Source organism: Homo sapiens, chromosome 1 (genome assembly GCF_000001405.40).
Source record: "Homo sapiens chromosome 1, GRCh38.p14 Primary Assembly".
Lineage (NCBI taxonomy): Eukaryota > Metazoa > Chordata > Mammalia > Primates > Hominidae > Homo > Homo sapiens.
The window spans coordinates 185,335,918-185,350,600 of NC_000001.11; the positions used below are offsets into that span (position 1 = coordinate 185,335,918).

At 38.8% G+C, this 14,683-nt stretch overlaps 1 long non-coding RNA gene across 1 annotated transcript in view; it reads left to right on the plus strand.

Moving 5' to 3' along the window:
* The window catches only part of CBSLR (CBS mRNA stabilizing lncRNA), a 58,849-nt gene that overhangs the window by 18,466 nt on the left and 25,700 nt on the right, over window positions 1-14,683 (plus strand). The gene's annotated exons all lie outside the window — the stretch shown is intronic.

A 14,683-nucleotide genomic window follows, 5' to 3' on the forward strand; every position in this document is an offset into this window, starting at 1 on the left:
GAGAATTTCTGCTGGAGATTGTATAGTTGGTCTTTCTTATTCATGTTAATAACATGAATTAACAAATTCATGTTAATTAATCTGTACTTTGCCAAGCAGTACTGAAAATTCTTGATGAAGTTCTCAATATAAATAATTTTCTTTCCTTTTACAAATGGGGCCTCTGTTACCCATAGGGATCTCCCAGAGTCCCTACAACAGGTGACACTATCAAGAGGAGGTATACTAGACTGGGAATGAAGGAAGAAAACCAGTACTTGTTGTGTCGTTGTTGATCACACAGCATCCAGACAAATCCCTGCCACCATCTCCTAGTAGGGCTTGTCCTATTGATGGGTGAGCTGCTGCCCAAGTGGAGTGGTGCACCTGGTGATTCAGGAAGAGTTACAACTTCACACGCAGCTTGTTGTCCACATCCAATTCTGTGTCTTAGCCAAATGACATAAAAATCAACTTGAGAAAAATACAAAGTAATGTCCTTCTGGGAGTTTATTTGCAGTAGTGTCTGGTTTGTGGCTAAAATTCTGGACTTGAAATTAGGAGAGCTGAGTAGAAACAGAAATGGAAATGTCTGTGTTCCTTTCTCATTTTGACCAGGCACTGCCTCAGAACTTTTGACAGTTCAACTTTGTTGGGCCTCAGTTTCCTCATATTTGATTGGGAAGAGAGGGAGGCTGGAGGTGGAGACAATGAAGAAAGGGATTGACTATTCAATGACTTCTAGACATTTTATCTAAAGTGTTACCTGCATTTCCCCAGGCCATGCCCAATGAGCTATCAAGAACAGCAATGAGATGCTAATCCTACAGATTGGATGAAATAGAGGGAGCTAGAACCACATGCATCCTGCTCCCCACAACTTCTCCCAACTAATGCAGAAGGTTCCCAAGGTTTGTCAGACAGCGATTTGAATTTCTGTGGTCTCTCTGGCTACCTTGTGGTATTTCTGGTGCCCTGTGGCTCTTGGCATAGGCACTATAATGATGCTAGTCCTTCACCCCTCATTTGTCTGTCTGAAAACTGTGCTGGTTTGAGATGTTTCCCACAGATATCTGGGTGATGTGGCTCCATGTTTTTTACCAGCACTATTTGTAAGCCATTTTTCCCCTGACAGGGACACAGCTTCCTGAAGATTGGGCTGGGAACAATCTAACTCCATTCAAAATCACCTTTTCCTTAAGAAGACCTGTGCTTGTCATTAAATCGTGTGTATAAGCTGGTGTAGACCTTTCAGTTAAGTTCCTTAGACCAATAGTCTTCAAAGTTTTTGCTCTCAAAAGCTTTAAAAGACTTGTAAAACTTAGTATCTCTTTGCAGATTTTCAAGTCAACATGAACATATTGTGTAAAGGATCTATTTTATGTTGTCAACAGACAAAATTACAACAAACAGTTTAAATAGCTCAGTTGGCTGTATTGTAGTTCTAGAATTGGGCAACACTTCATTCCATAAAATATAATAAGTGTTCTGATGAGCTGAGCAGAAGGAGTTAGCTTTGTAGGCAGAGGACGGCTGAAGAAAGCAGAAACGAAGAGAGCAAAGAGGATATTAGTCATTCCACAGCTACTTTTCTGTAAGGCAGGACAGGGAAGCAGAATAATAGAAAAAAATGTGGCTCCCATCTATAATCCCAGCTACCCAGGAGGTTGAGGTGGGAGGATCACTTGAAGCCAAGAGTTCTAGGCTACAGCAAGCTACGATCATGCCACTGCACTCCAGCCTGCGTGACAGAGCAAGAACCCCTGTTAAAAAAAAAAGAAAAAAGAAAAAAGAAAAAAAGAGACAGAGAACTGATTAGTTAACATCAGGCTACTTCTTTTGTGTGTGTGTGTGTTTTTTCAAATTTACTAAGTAATGAAACAAAAGATCCAACAGTTCTTACATAGCCTTTATTTAAAAAAAGAAAAAAAGATAAATTGTCTTGAAACTACTCCTAAGTATTTTGAAAAACATTTCCTTTTAAAAGTAGCTGGCCAAGAATCCAGAAAACCTTTTCATTTTAGAGAATCTTCCTCTCTCTTGCTTTTCTGTTCTCTTACCTGATGTCAGTCATTTTGTTTTTCCTGGGCAGTCAGAAATCAGTTTTTACTTTGGAACTAAGACACTCATTTTTGGCTTTAAAAATTGTTAATTATATTGTTCGGTTTTGGGTACTATCTTTGGGTAAGTTGACAATTTCTAGGTTTTTTGTTAATTAAAAATTTTTAGTTTTACTACCTCTGTATCTACTTGCGTAAAAAAGGATAGTATCTAATTATATTTTAACTTACCACTTTTTAAAACTTTTAACTGTTTATATGTGTAAGGATTTAAGTAGAAGTTTTTCGTACTGATTGAAGATTTAAACTGGCTTGTTTGGAAAATCAGCTGTTACCTCTTTCTCCTGATTTCTCAGAAGGTCAAATAAATACTTAGTTTGAGTTTGGTAGAAGTGAACTTTAGTATGAGTGATCCCATTCTGATTTTTTATCTGGTCTGTTGAGGCCTGGTGCAGAAACTTAGTCCAAAACAATGGCCTCTTGTGATTTTTATTTAACAGTATTATCTTCGTGCTTTAAATACCTTTTCCTTAAAATCACAGAGTTTCAGATTTGTCTCAGGTCAGAAATTGTTCATAGAGCAAATTATCTGCATCAAATTACACTGGCTGTTTCTGTCAGGAAAAAGTTGACTTTATTTATTTATTTTTACTGAAAATAAATGTGATTACATGCATGTCTGTGCAACCTCACTTCTGAATGTAAGAGACACAATGTTGGGGAGGGTGGGAGAGAAAATCAGGGTAAAGGCATGGAGCCTTGCTTTGGCTTTCTTCACCTTGCCCTACCTCTCCCGAAATCTCCATTCCCTGGTCCCTCTGCTTGGTGGCCCAGAGGTGTTTACCCCTGGAGCAAGCACACAGGAAGCTTAGGTCCCAGTGGGGCTTTGCCTTCCCTTTCTTTTACAAAATGGTTGCAGGGCCTTTGGTTGCGAGAGAGGATGTGGGAAAGGGAACCACAGGCCGCTGCAGACTTCTCTTCTGTAGAGCAGTGTTATGAGAGGACACGTGGGAGCTGGGGATTTGAACATTGCTTCTGTTTAAGCTATCCATGCCTGTGAACCCTTGGAAGGTCTTTATATCCCCAGAGTTATGAGTACCCCAGTTTGAAGACCACTTCTTTAGACCCCTCCACTTACTCCAGTTGAGTCTGGGATGTGCCCACGCAGATCTGATTGCAGCTCTTAGATTAGGCCTTCATGTTTGTTGAATATTTACAATGTACCAAGTGGCTTACCTTTATAAGTTTGTCTTCCTGAAGACCTTGTTACAGATAACTCAGGTAGCAGAAGACTCAGGAGCCAGACTGGGATACTCCTAATCCCTAAATTAACTTTTGTTCCTGCCACAAAAACTTTCTTAGTTGCATAAGACATGGTCAGCTGAGCTCGTGGATTGAAAGGAGGATCTGAAAGGAAACCTCAGCGTTTGTAGACCATTTCCTGCTTGTGGTTTCCAACTTAATGAGAGAAACAGTGCCTTTTTACAGCCATATCTGTAATAGTGCCTTTTTAGGGCTGTATCTGTGCTACTGAGTCTCCCCTTGACGAAAACTTAGTCAGGCTTCTGTGACCTTGGGCAAGTCCCCCAAGTGTCCAATTTTAGCAAGAATCCTGCTGAATCAGTTTAGCCAGAATCTCCCACCTTAATATCTGATCATCCTCAAAATCTGATCAACATTCTCATCCTCCACCATCCACTACGTAACATCAGATCACCCTGACCTGCCTTCAGCAAGAATCCCATTATGTTTGTTTAACTAGAGAATCCCCTTACCCTTGATGCTTTCTCTTGGCAATTTTCCATCCACCTACTCCTGCACTGTGCTCCCTGTCTATAAATTCCCCCTTTTTCTTGTTGTACTTGGAGTTGAACCTGATCTCGTTCCCCTGATAACAAAAACCTCATTGTAATAGCGCCCGCCATCCTGCCCCGCTTGAATAGTCTTCCTTACCATCTTTAATAAGTGTCATGAATTTTTTTTTCTTTAACACTCTTGTAGGGCTTTAGATAACCTTGGAGGCAATTTCATTTACTTAGATCTGCATATTATTTTGATGTGGTAATTTATAAAACACAGACTTGGTATCTTTGTGTTGCTGTAAAGCAATACCTAAGGCAGGGTAACGTATAAAGAGGTTTATGTGGCTCACGGTGCTGCAGACAATACAAGAAGCATGGCGGCAACATTTGCTTCTGATTAGGGCCTCAAGAAACTTCCACTCATGGTGCAAGGTGAAGGGGAGCCACCATGTAGAGATAACATGGTGAGGAGGAAGCAAGAAAGAGGGAGAAGGTGTCGGGTCCTTTTCTAACAATTAGCTCTCAGGGGAACTCTTGCTGGAATTCTTGTAGTAACTGATAGAATAACTCACTACTGTGAGGATGACACCAAGCCATTTGTGAGGGATACATCTCCATGATCCAAATACCTCCCATTAGGCCCCACTCTGACGGGGGGGATCAATTTCAGTATGAGGTTTCGAGGGTCAAACATTCAAACGATAGCACTTGGTAATTCATAAAACAATTTTCTAGTTTTTTAAATTTACTAAGTAATGGAACAAAAGAGCCAGCAGTTCTTTCATAGCCTTTATTTTAAAAATTGTCTTAAAATTACTCCTAAGGATTTTGAAAATCATTTCCCTTTAAAAATAGCTGGCCAAGAATCCAGAAAAACTTTTCATTTTAGAGACTCTCCCCCCGTCTTGCTTTTCTGTTCTCTTACTTGATGTCAGTCATTTTATTTGTTTTTCCTGGGCAGTCAGAAATCAGTTTTTACTTTGAAATTAAGACATTCATTCTTTTGTCTTTAAAAAAACGTTAATTATATTGTTTGGTTTTGGGTAGTATCTTAGGTTAACTTGAAAATTTCTAGGTTTTTTTGTTAATTAAAAAGTATTAATTTTACTGCCTCTATCCACTTGCATAAAAAAGGATAGTATCTAATTACATTTTAGCTTCCCACTTTTTAAAACTTTTAACTGTTATTTTATTTTACTTTTAAAGGTAGAGTCTGTGTTGTGCGGGCTAAAGTGCAGTGGCTATTCACGGTGTGATCATAGTGCTCTATAGGTTCAAATTCCTAGGCTCAATTGATCCTCCTGCCTCAGCCTCCTGAGAAGGTGGGACTACAGACACATACTGCCATGCCTATATTTATTTTTTAACCACTTTTTAAAAATTGAAATATAACTCACATAGGATTAAACCTTTTAAAATGTACAATTTGGTGGTTTTAGTATACTGACTTTCTTTTAAGATAGCATTGTCAAAGACAAAATTTCAACAAATTTAAATGATTGAACTGGCTTTTATTGCAATTCTTGAATCAGGTGTTATCTAATCTAAAAATAGATGCTAAGCTGGGCAAGGCAGAAAAATCTGTTTTTATAAAGGTAGTTTGATCAGGAACAAGGAAACAGCATAATAAAACTCAGACTCATAGGTTAACACCAGATTACTTCAGGTTACTTTCTTTGTAAGAGTTAAAAACAGGGAATTTCCTTATGCTGGCTAAAACTGGCCTGTTTGGGAATTTGGCTATTCTCTCTCTCTCTCTCCTGATTTCTCTGAAGGTCAGATAAGCAACTTAGTTTTGATTTGGTGGCATGGAACTTTAGCATGAGTGACTCCATTTTGGTTTGGTCTGTTGGGGCCTAGTGCAGGAACTTAGCTCAAAACAATGGTCTTCCATGAATTTTGTTTAACAGCACCTAGGACTAGTGTTTAAAAGTATGGATTTCTGCAGTAAAGTTCTTTACATATTGTAGGGGCAGAAAGAAAGCTTCCTCTTCACCCACTGAAAGTTTGCTGAAAATGAACTGACAAAAGTCAGAATAGGAGAAAAAGGCATACAAAATTCATTTGACGTGCATAGACATGGAAGCCAAACACACAGTATGAGACTCAAAGAGGGGCCAGATGGTTGAGGCTTAAATACTCTCTTCATAGGGGAGTGATGTATGAACCCAGGAGGCAGACATTATTTTGTAAATGATTCTCTCTGGAAGCTAGATGGGACAAGTTATGGGAAAGTGAGGGAAGAACTGCACAGGAACAAAGTTTGTCTTATGCAGGTAAAGTCCCCCAGGTAATTGCTAGGAACTGCCTCAGAAGAATAGATTAAAAGTCTGTCTGGGCATGGTGACAACTCCCACTGTTTTCTTTTCTCTTTGGTGGTTGAGGTTGATTTTTCCTGGTTATTTAATGAGATTCCTAGGGAGGAGGTCTTAAGACAATTTTTGGAAAGCTGTTGGAAAGAAGCTTTCTTAGATAAGAAAATTCCTCTGGGAGTACCTCCTGGTGCTTTGGGCGGGAAGATCAGAAAGATTCAGAGGTGGGAATGTCTGACAGAGACCTCGGTTCTGAGGCTACTTCTGAGGCTTATTTCTGAGGCCTTTCCATTTTCAAAGCACTCAGCATGTCCAAGCACTATGTTTTGGGGAATCATTTTCTGTGCCCCAACAGAATGGCCTTTTCTATTCTTGAAGCACAGGTCCCATCACAGTGCCTACGGTCCTATCGTAGGTATTACTTTCCTTCAGGAAAATGTTTAAACCACACACATTCTCAATACGTAGACCCATGATTTTAGTTATTTGGTTTTTTTAAAAAAAAAAAGCCATGGAAAAGCAAAATAAAAATAAATGCCACATATCAAAACTTGGCTCTCGGTAGGTATTTACTGAATGAATGAAAGAATTGAAATGGCCACTTTTGGTTACTGAGTTGCTCTTGACAGCTTAAAGATGAAAAGCTTGAATACTTTCAGCATCCCCTTGAACATGCTGACTGGCTACCTTGGACTCTTCACCTCGCCTCCTTTGTGAAGAGAAAACAGAGCCCAGATTAGCATTACTGCCCTTACTGAAATTGCATTTGAATGTGAGTGTTGAAGATGTCATGTGATTAAATGACAGATGTCACTCATGTTTTTTTAGTCATGTTTCTATTCCACATCTATTTACAAGTTTTTAAAAATTCTTTTGCCATTGTAGACATTTCTGTTCATGGAACTTAGGCCTGCAAAAACCAAGATACTGTCATTGTGGGACGTGCCAATCCACTTTGAGAATGTGTACATGTGTATGCAATTGTTTGCTCTTTTTTTTTTTTTTTTCCCAGGAGCCCTCTGGAGACGGAGCCCAGGGACAGTGAGGTCTTTAGTGTTTGCTGATAGATCAAGGCCATGGAATTCCATTTATAGTGTGTATTATAAGAAACTTCAGGGCAGTAGGAGCACAGCTGCCCTGAAAGAAGAAAATATTATGTATTTTGAAATAGTTTTGATATGTAGCATTTATTTTTATTTTGTTTTTCCATGGCTTTTTTTTTTAACCAAATAACTAAAATCATGGGTTTACATATTGAGAATGTGTGTGGTTTAAACATTTTCCTGAAGGAAAGTTATATCTACAATAGGACCATTCAGTTTTTGTTTTTATGTCAAGTTCAACACTGTAAACAAGTTCTATTGAAGTGAAAAACACAAACGGATCTTTCTTCCCACAGTTAAGTCCCTTTAGGACAGCCCAACCAGCTCTCAATTCCCTCTCTAGGGTGACGTGTTCTGTGAGAATCTGCAATAGCAGACGGCAGTGCCCATCATGCATCTGAGCCCCGTAGCTGGAGCCAGCCACACACTCCAAGACACCAGGTATACATCCCGACCCTGACAGAGAAGTAGTCAGTAGGATGGCATTGTGCTTATAATTAATTTAAAAGTTAATCATTTAAATTTACATTTGAGAATCTGCATTTATACTAAGCAAGCAGGCCAGGCACAGAGGCTTACACCTGTAATCTAGGAAATTTGAGAGGCTGAGGCGGGAGAATCGCTTGAGGCCATGAGTTTGTGATCAGCCCAGGTAGTATAGTAAGGCCGTGTCACTACCAAAAAAAAAAAAAAGGCCAGGTGTGGTGGCATGTGCCTATAGTGCTAGTAAATCAGAAAGCTGAGGCAGGAGAATGACTTGAGCCCAGGAGCTCACGGATGCAGTGAGCTGTGATCCCCTACTGCACTCCAGCCTTGGTGACAGAGCAAGACCCAGTCTCTTAAAAAATGTCAAGCAAAGAATTCCTATGAAACACTAGTTTTAGTGTTTTCTTCCCTCTTGCCTGGATTGTGGTCATTCTGTCTTAACTGGTGTGTCTGCCTCTGTTCTCAGGGGACTTGAACTCTAAGATTGCCAGATAAAATACAGGATGCTCTATTAAATATGAATTCGGATATACCACCAATTTTTTTAAGTATAAATTTCTCCCAAAGTATTACATGGGATGGCTACAACATTATATGAAATAAATTGTCACGAAATCCTTAAAAAATTTGTTTCACAATTAATGCTGACCACTTCCAAATCTCAGTATCCAGCCTCATCATGTGTTTTAAACTGAAAATCTCCATTGTGAAGTCTTGCAGGCAACATGTTGAAAATTTAACTCATAATTTGCCCCGCCTGTCTTCTCACTTTCAGTGATGTTGCCTCCATCCATCCAGTTCTTGAAACTGCCCTTGACCATTCCCTTTGCCCCACATCCATTAGGTGGGCCCTTTTGCTTCTCTCCCTAGTTAGTCTCAGCAGCCAGCAATACCTTTACTAAAGTTACAGCACAGTCTCTACTGCTTTCCTCTTCTGTAGGTCCTTCCTTCTAACCGAAGTGACTTCAAACTTCAGACATATGTGCATATACAGAATCAAGTTCCCTGCAAACTATACTTACCCTCACAACTTGCAGGATATTCTGATGTTGTCTAATGTTTCTTTTAAAAAAAAAAAAAGCTAGTTGGTAACCTCTTGCATTGATGAGGGATGGCCTGCAATTTAAAAACACTGCCTATTCCATTTTATAAAAAACAACCAGGATAGTGTCTATAAACCCTGGGCAGACCATGTCGCTCTCTTGCTTAAAACCTTCAATAATTTCATACTCATTACTCTTAGCAGATGAAGTATGAGATGCTTATCATGACTTTAAAAGCCTCCCACTTGCTCTGTTCTCCCTTCCATTAGGTAGTCCTCTTAGCCAGAGGGTGCTTCTCCCTTTACCTTAGAATTGATCTCCCACAGAGAACAAGTTCTTCAGGTCTCAATGGCATTTCTTCAGGGAGGCCTTCACAGACCTCTTAGTGGAGGGAAATCGCTTTACTGGATGTTCTTCCACAGTGCTTTCATGGCAAAAAGAAAGTTCTAAAGTATTAGTGAACTGCTCAACTGCTCAAAATCCTCCCAAGGCTCTCCATTTCATTCAGACTAAAATCCAGTCTTGACGGTGGCCTACATGGTCCTACATGAGCTACTCCCATTTCTTTGACCTTGTCTTCTACTAATTTTTCTCTTTATTTACTCTTCTGCAGCCACCCTGTCCTCCTTGTTATTCCTCAAAGGTGGCAGCACTCTCCCCTACCTCAGGACCTTGGCACCTGTTAATTCTCTGACTGGAGCCCCCGCCCCCCCAATATCCATGGCAGTCTCTCATTTATGTCACTTTCCTAAAATGTCTTCTTGTCAATGAGGCCTTCTCTGATCCCCCTATTTAAAATAGCATCCCCCAGTCTGGCACTCCCCATTTTCTGCTCTGCTTTGTATTTATTTATTTTACTTATTTTTTTATTTTGCTTATTATCTATCTCTCTCTATTAGGATGTAGAATTTGTGATTTTTCTCTACCTTATCAATAGCCAAATCCCTAGCACCTAGAATAGTGCTTGGTTTGTAGAAGGCATTCAATAAATGTATTTGTTGTGTAAATGAATGAGTAACTACATGAATCTTGTTAGTTTTCTTATGAGAGAAAATGCCTGTTCTGTTTACAATGTATCTACCTTAGTGCCTGGCACATAAGAAGGTCTCAAAAAATAATTTTTTGATTTAAATTCATTTAAATTGCAAGTGGTAACAATGGAGAGGGAAGAGTGTGTATAACCTTAAAAATACTTCTGTTTATATTCCTAGTGTTTGTAACCCTGATGTTACCACTGTGTACACAATCCTTCTTAAAAGAGAAACCTATTAGTATGATGCATTCACTTGTTTACTGGAATTAATGTTAGGCTTTTAGTGTTTGCAAACACTAAAAAACTGAAGGTGGGGGGTTATCACGTGGGAGTGTCATGGAAAAAATAATTCACCCGTTTCAAAGTGGTGGCGCCTGCATAGTTCCTGTTTTGCTGTAACCATAATCAAATGGAACATAGGTTTATAGTTCCTTATTGAAAACCTTTGGGACCAGCTGTGTTCAGAATTCAGATTTCTTTTCTTCAGGTTTTAGAAGGCAGTGCATGAACTCCAATTTGTTACACACTCAGCAGACTTTAGGGTAGGGCCCTGTACTCAAACATGCCAACACTTCTGCAGCGAAAGTGTGAACAGCTACCCTAGGTGGGTAAAGGCAACAAATTGCCCACATCAGTTGCATTCAGGTTTTTCCACAACAGTGAGTTTTAGAGACAAAAGCATGGAAAACTCTCAGTTTTCAGAACTTCTGAGTTGTTTTTCTGGCTGGGAGTGTTACTGCTGAGTGGCAGTTCTTAGGGCTGCATGACCCAGAGGACTGCTGGCTTTAGGAAAGTTCCTGTTCCAGTTCTCAGTTCCAGTCCCAGTGATAGGACAGATGACACATGATTCTGATTGAATGACAACTCTGTGCCACAAAACCAATTATTTCATCTATAATAATTCAAACAAATAGATGCAAGAAGAAAAAATGTCCTTTTCTAGTCAATATCTCAGACCTATAACTAGAATTTGTTCACATCATTCATTATGCAGGAACCAATGATTCTATTTGATTTGCTTACAGAGCTTGAAATTCTTAAAGCAGGGGCTCTCAAAGTTTAGTGTTTAGGCTCTAAAGCATGGGTTGACAAACTTTTTCTGTCAAGGGCCAGAAAGAAAATGTTTTAGGCTTTGTGGGCTACATATTATTGGTATATATGTGTCTTCTCAATACCTCTTCCACTGGACCACCTCCCCTCCCTGCCCAGAGGAGATTGTCTGATGGTGGAATTGTCAACATGCTCAGATAGAAACGTCAAAGGAAAATCATGTTGACATTTGCATTTATAAAGTGTTTTGTAGGAGTTACCCTTGATCACTAAGCACTCTTCTCATCCCAACAGACAATAACAATCATTTCTTGCTAGTGAGAAAATAGTTTCTCAATGAAAAGGAGATGGTTCCTGATGAAGATGGCCAGTGAGGGGCTGGGTGATGTTATAACTTCCTCTGTGGCTTCTAGATTGTTACCATTTAGATTTCCTTTGTTAGATCCATAGTAGGTAACTAAGCACAATTCTGTGTTTTTTTTCCACTTATTAAAAGTTAACTGCCAGCCTAGGATATTTGCATTAAAAGGTACTTTTTAAAATAGAAAATATTTCTGTTAAAACAACTAAATAAAGTTTACTTAGAGCAAAAGCTAACATTGTGCCATTCACTATGCTAAGCACTTTATATCCATTTTTCTATTTACCCCCCACCACAACTCTGTGAAACAGGTGCTTTTAGGAAACCAAGACTTAGATTGAATAACTGGTCTGAGGTCACCTAGCTGGTGTCAAAGCTGAGCTTTCAACTCAGGTCTTGCAGAGTCAGCCCTCAGACTCTTGAATATTATAGAATATAGCCTCATAAATATATATATTATATATATATATATATGTTTTTACATGCGAAGAGGAAGGGCTTATTGGTCATGTCAGGTTTTATGTAGATGATCCTACCATGAGAAGCATTAAAAAATTGTTTTGCCTTGAGTGTAATCGATGTCATTTTTTGTCTCAGAATGATGGCATGAATCTTTTCTTTTTGGGGATGTTGGCTCTTTGCTTTTTAGCAAAATCTTCCAACAGATTGTTGTTGATTTCTTTAAACTGTATTTTAAAAAAGTTAGCTTGAATTTTGTCACTAGAGAAAGATATTATTTCCAAGGGAAAGTTAAAACTCCCATGACATTTTTTCATTCTAACTCATTAAGACTGTTTTAAATAAGATTTGAATCATCCCTAATATACATACAAAATTATGAAGAAATAAAAAACAATAAAGTTAGCATCTACATTATAATTTATGATTAAAGGCTTTGCATTTCTTGTTCCTTAGGTTTTCTATATCTAAAGTAGAGAAATGACACCAGTACTAATTATTTAAGTTCATTGAAGTCTTCAGGAGTCTATATTTTACCATGAGTGCATGGGTTAAAGACAATCTTTCTCATTATATCAGTGAAGGCTGTTTATTACTGGAAGAGTAATAAACATCTCTTTGGAGACCTACTCCTAAGAGAGGAGGTGAGAGATTGAATTTTAAAGATTGTACAGTGATAAATAATGCTGTTGGAGAAAGTGATGAAAGAAAAAGAAAAGACATCTGTGCCCCTTTTGCCTTTTGCACCAGATATAGGGAAAGAATTCCAGGTATCAAAACCAACAGAAAGTACTTTCAATTTTTGTTGTTGTTGTTTTTTTTTTAGATAGTATCTTGCTCTCTGTCACCCAGGCTGGAGTACAGTGACACAATCACCGCTCACTGCAGCCTTGACCTCCTAGTTTCAAACAATTCTTCCACCTCAGCCTCCTGAGTAGCTGGGAGTACAGGCATGTGCCACCATGCCCAGCTAATTAAAAAAGATTTATTTTAGAGATGGGGGCCTCACTGTGTTGCTGAGGCTGGTCTTGAATTCCTGGGCTGAAACCATTCTCCAACCTTGGCCTCCCAAAGAGTTGGGTTTACTGGTGTGAGTGAGCCGCTGTGTCCAGCAGAAAGCACTTTGTTATAGGATATTGGGGATGATCTTTTTTAGAATAATATTCTTTTCAATAAAGGTGATTTATTCAAGTTAACTTTTTTTAACATTATACTTCTAACACATATTTTCTATAATACATTCACAGCTCCGAAAAAACTCATTGTCCGATTTCACATCTCAGTTTATGGTTGTAAAAATATGGTACTTATATATTTTATGTGATATGTTAAGCAATTTTACTTGTGAAGCTGGGAGCTAAAATGTAACTTTGGTAACTTTATTACTTCTGTTTCAAAAAAGTCAGAGCTACTTAATGTTTTATATTTGGTGTCATCTTAATTTGTAGAGCACATTCTACATATATTTCCTTTTAGACTATTTCCTATTTGTTTTTAATCAAAGACCTAGTTAAACTGTGAATAATAACTCAAGATAAAAGGCCTGGGTAAATGTTTGATGAGACTGCTCTAGGAAGGGGGATGGGTAGGAGCTGTATATCTACCTTGTCTGACCAATGCCAGGCAGATTTCTACCTAGTGGTAGCCTTTTTCCAATTTCTCTCTTTCTCTCTCCTCACTCTTTTGTTTCCTCTCTCTCCTCTTCCCTTTTCCCTCCCCATTTCTCTCCTTCAAGCATAAATTTTTTTTTTTTTTGAGACAAGGTGTCACTCTGTCGCCCAGGTTGGAGTGCAGTGGCGTGATATTGGCTCACTGCCCAGGTTCAAGCTATTATCCTGCCTCAGCCTCCCAAGTAGCTGGGATTACAGGTGCATACCACCATGCCCAGCTAATTTTTGTATCTTTAGTAGAGATGGGGTTTTGCCATGTTGACCAGGCTGGTGTGTCTGCCTAGTCAAGTGATCTGCCCATCTCAGCCTCTCAAAGTGCTAGGATTACAGGTGGGAGCTACAAGCATAGAAGAAAAAATCATCATTCAAACTATGTAAAAGCATAGCCAATGAAAATAAACATCTCATTCCCCAGGCACTCCTTCTAACCAAGTGTTCTTTTGCAGAGGCAGCGATTTTAAGTTCTGCCAATTTCTCATTCATGATTTATCACCTCGGGGCAATATCTCCTGACTCCTTGCTGTAAAGAATGGGAAGCATTCTCATAGAACCCTGTACCTAAATTACTGTCTTTTACCTTCTCATATTTGTCAGGTCTAGCTTATTCACTTTGTCTACTGGTTGTCTCTTATGACTTTGCATAATACAGATGGCCTCTATTTTCTAACTGATTTTTAGATATAGCTATTGACTCCTTGCTATGAAAACTGAGTACATTAGCACACGTATCCATTGTTTCACTCTCTTCTAATTTTTTTTAAGTTATGTTTTTATTTGTATGTTGCCATGACTTATAACATTCACATTTATAACATGCTTCATTGTCTTTTGGCATCTCTGTCAGTTACTACTTGCCCTCAGGATAAAGTCCACATTTTCTACATAGTAAATAAAATCCCAGCTACCCAGCCCCATCCTGTCTCCCCGGCCTAATATGCAGTACAAAGAGTTCTCGCTGACATCATATATATGTCTTCCTGGGACTTTGCACATGTTTTTAACTCTCTAGCAAATTTGTTTTCATGCTTCAAGGCCTAGATCTCATTTTCCTATGTGGTCAATCCATCCCCACATGTTCCCACTACCCTCTTTCTACCTCCATTAGGAGGCTTTACATTAAGCTGCAATTTCATGTTTATATATCTGCTGCTGCTTCTCCAGTGTGAGTATAGGAGTGTGCATTTCATTTCTGTGTCTCCAGTGTCCAAGGAAGTGTCCTCACACAGAATGAATGACTGAATGAACACAAAAATATTCTAACAAAGAGATTAACCAGCGTATTTGGCGTTTTACATCTTTCCTAAATTGATTTTAATCAGCAAAAT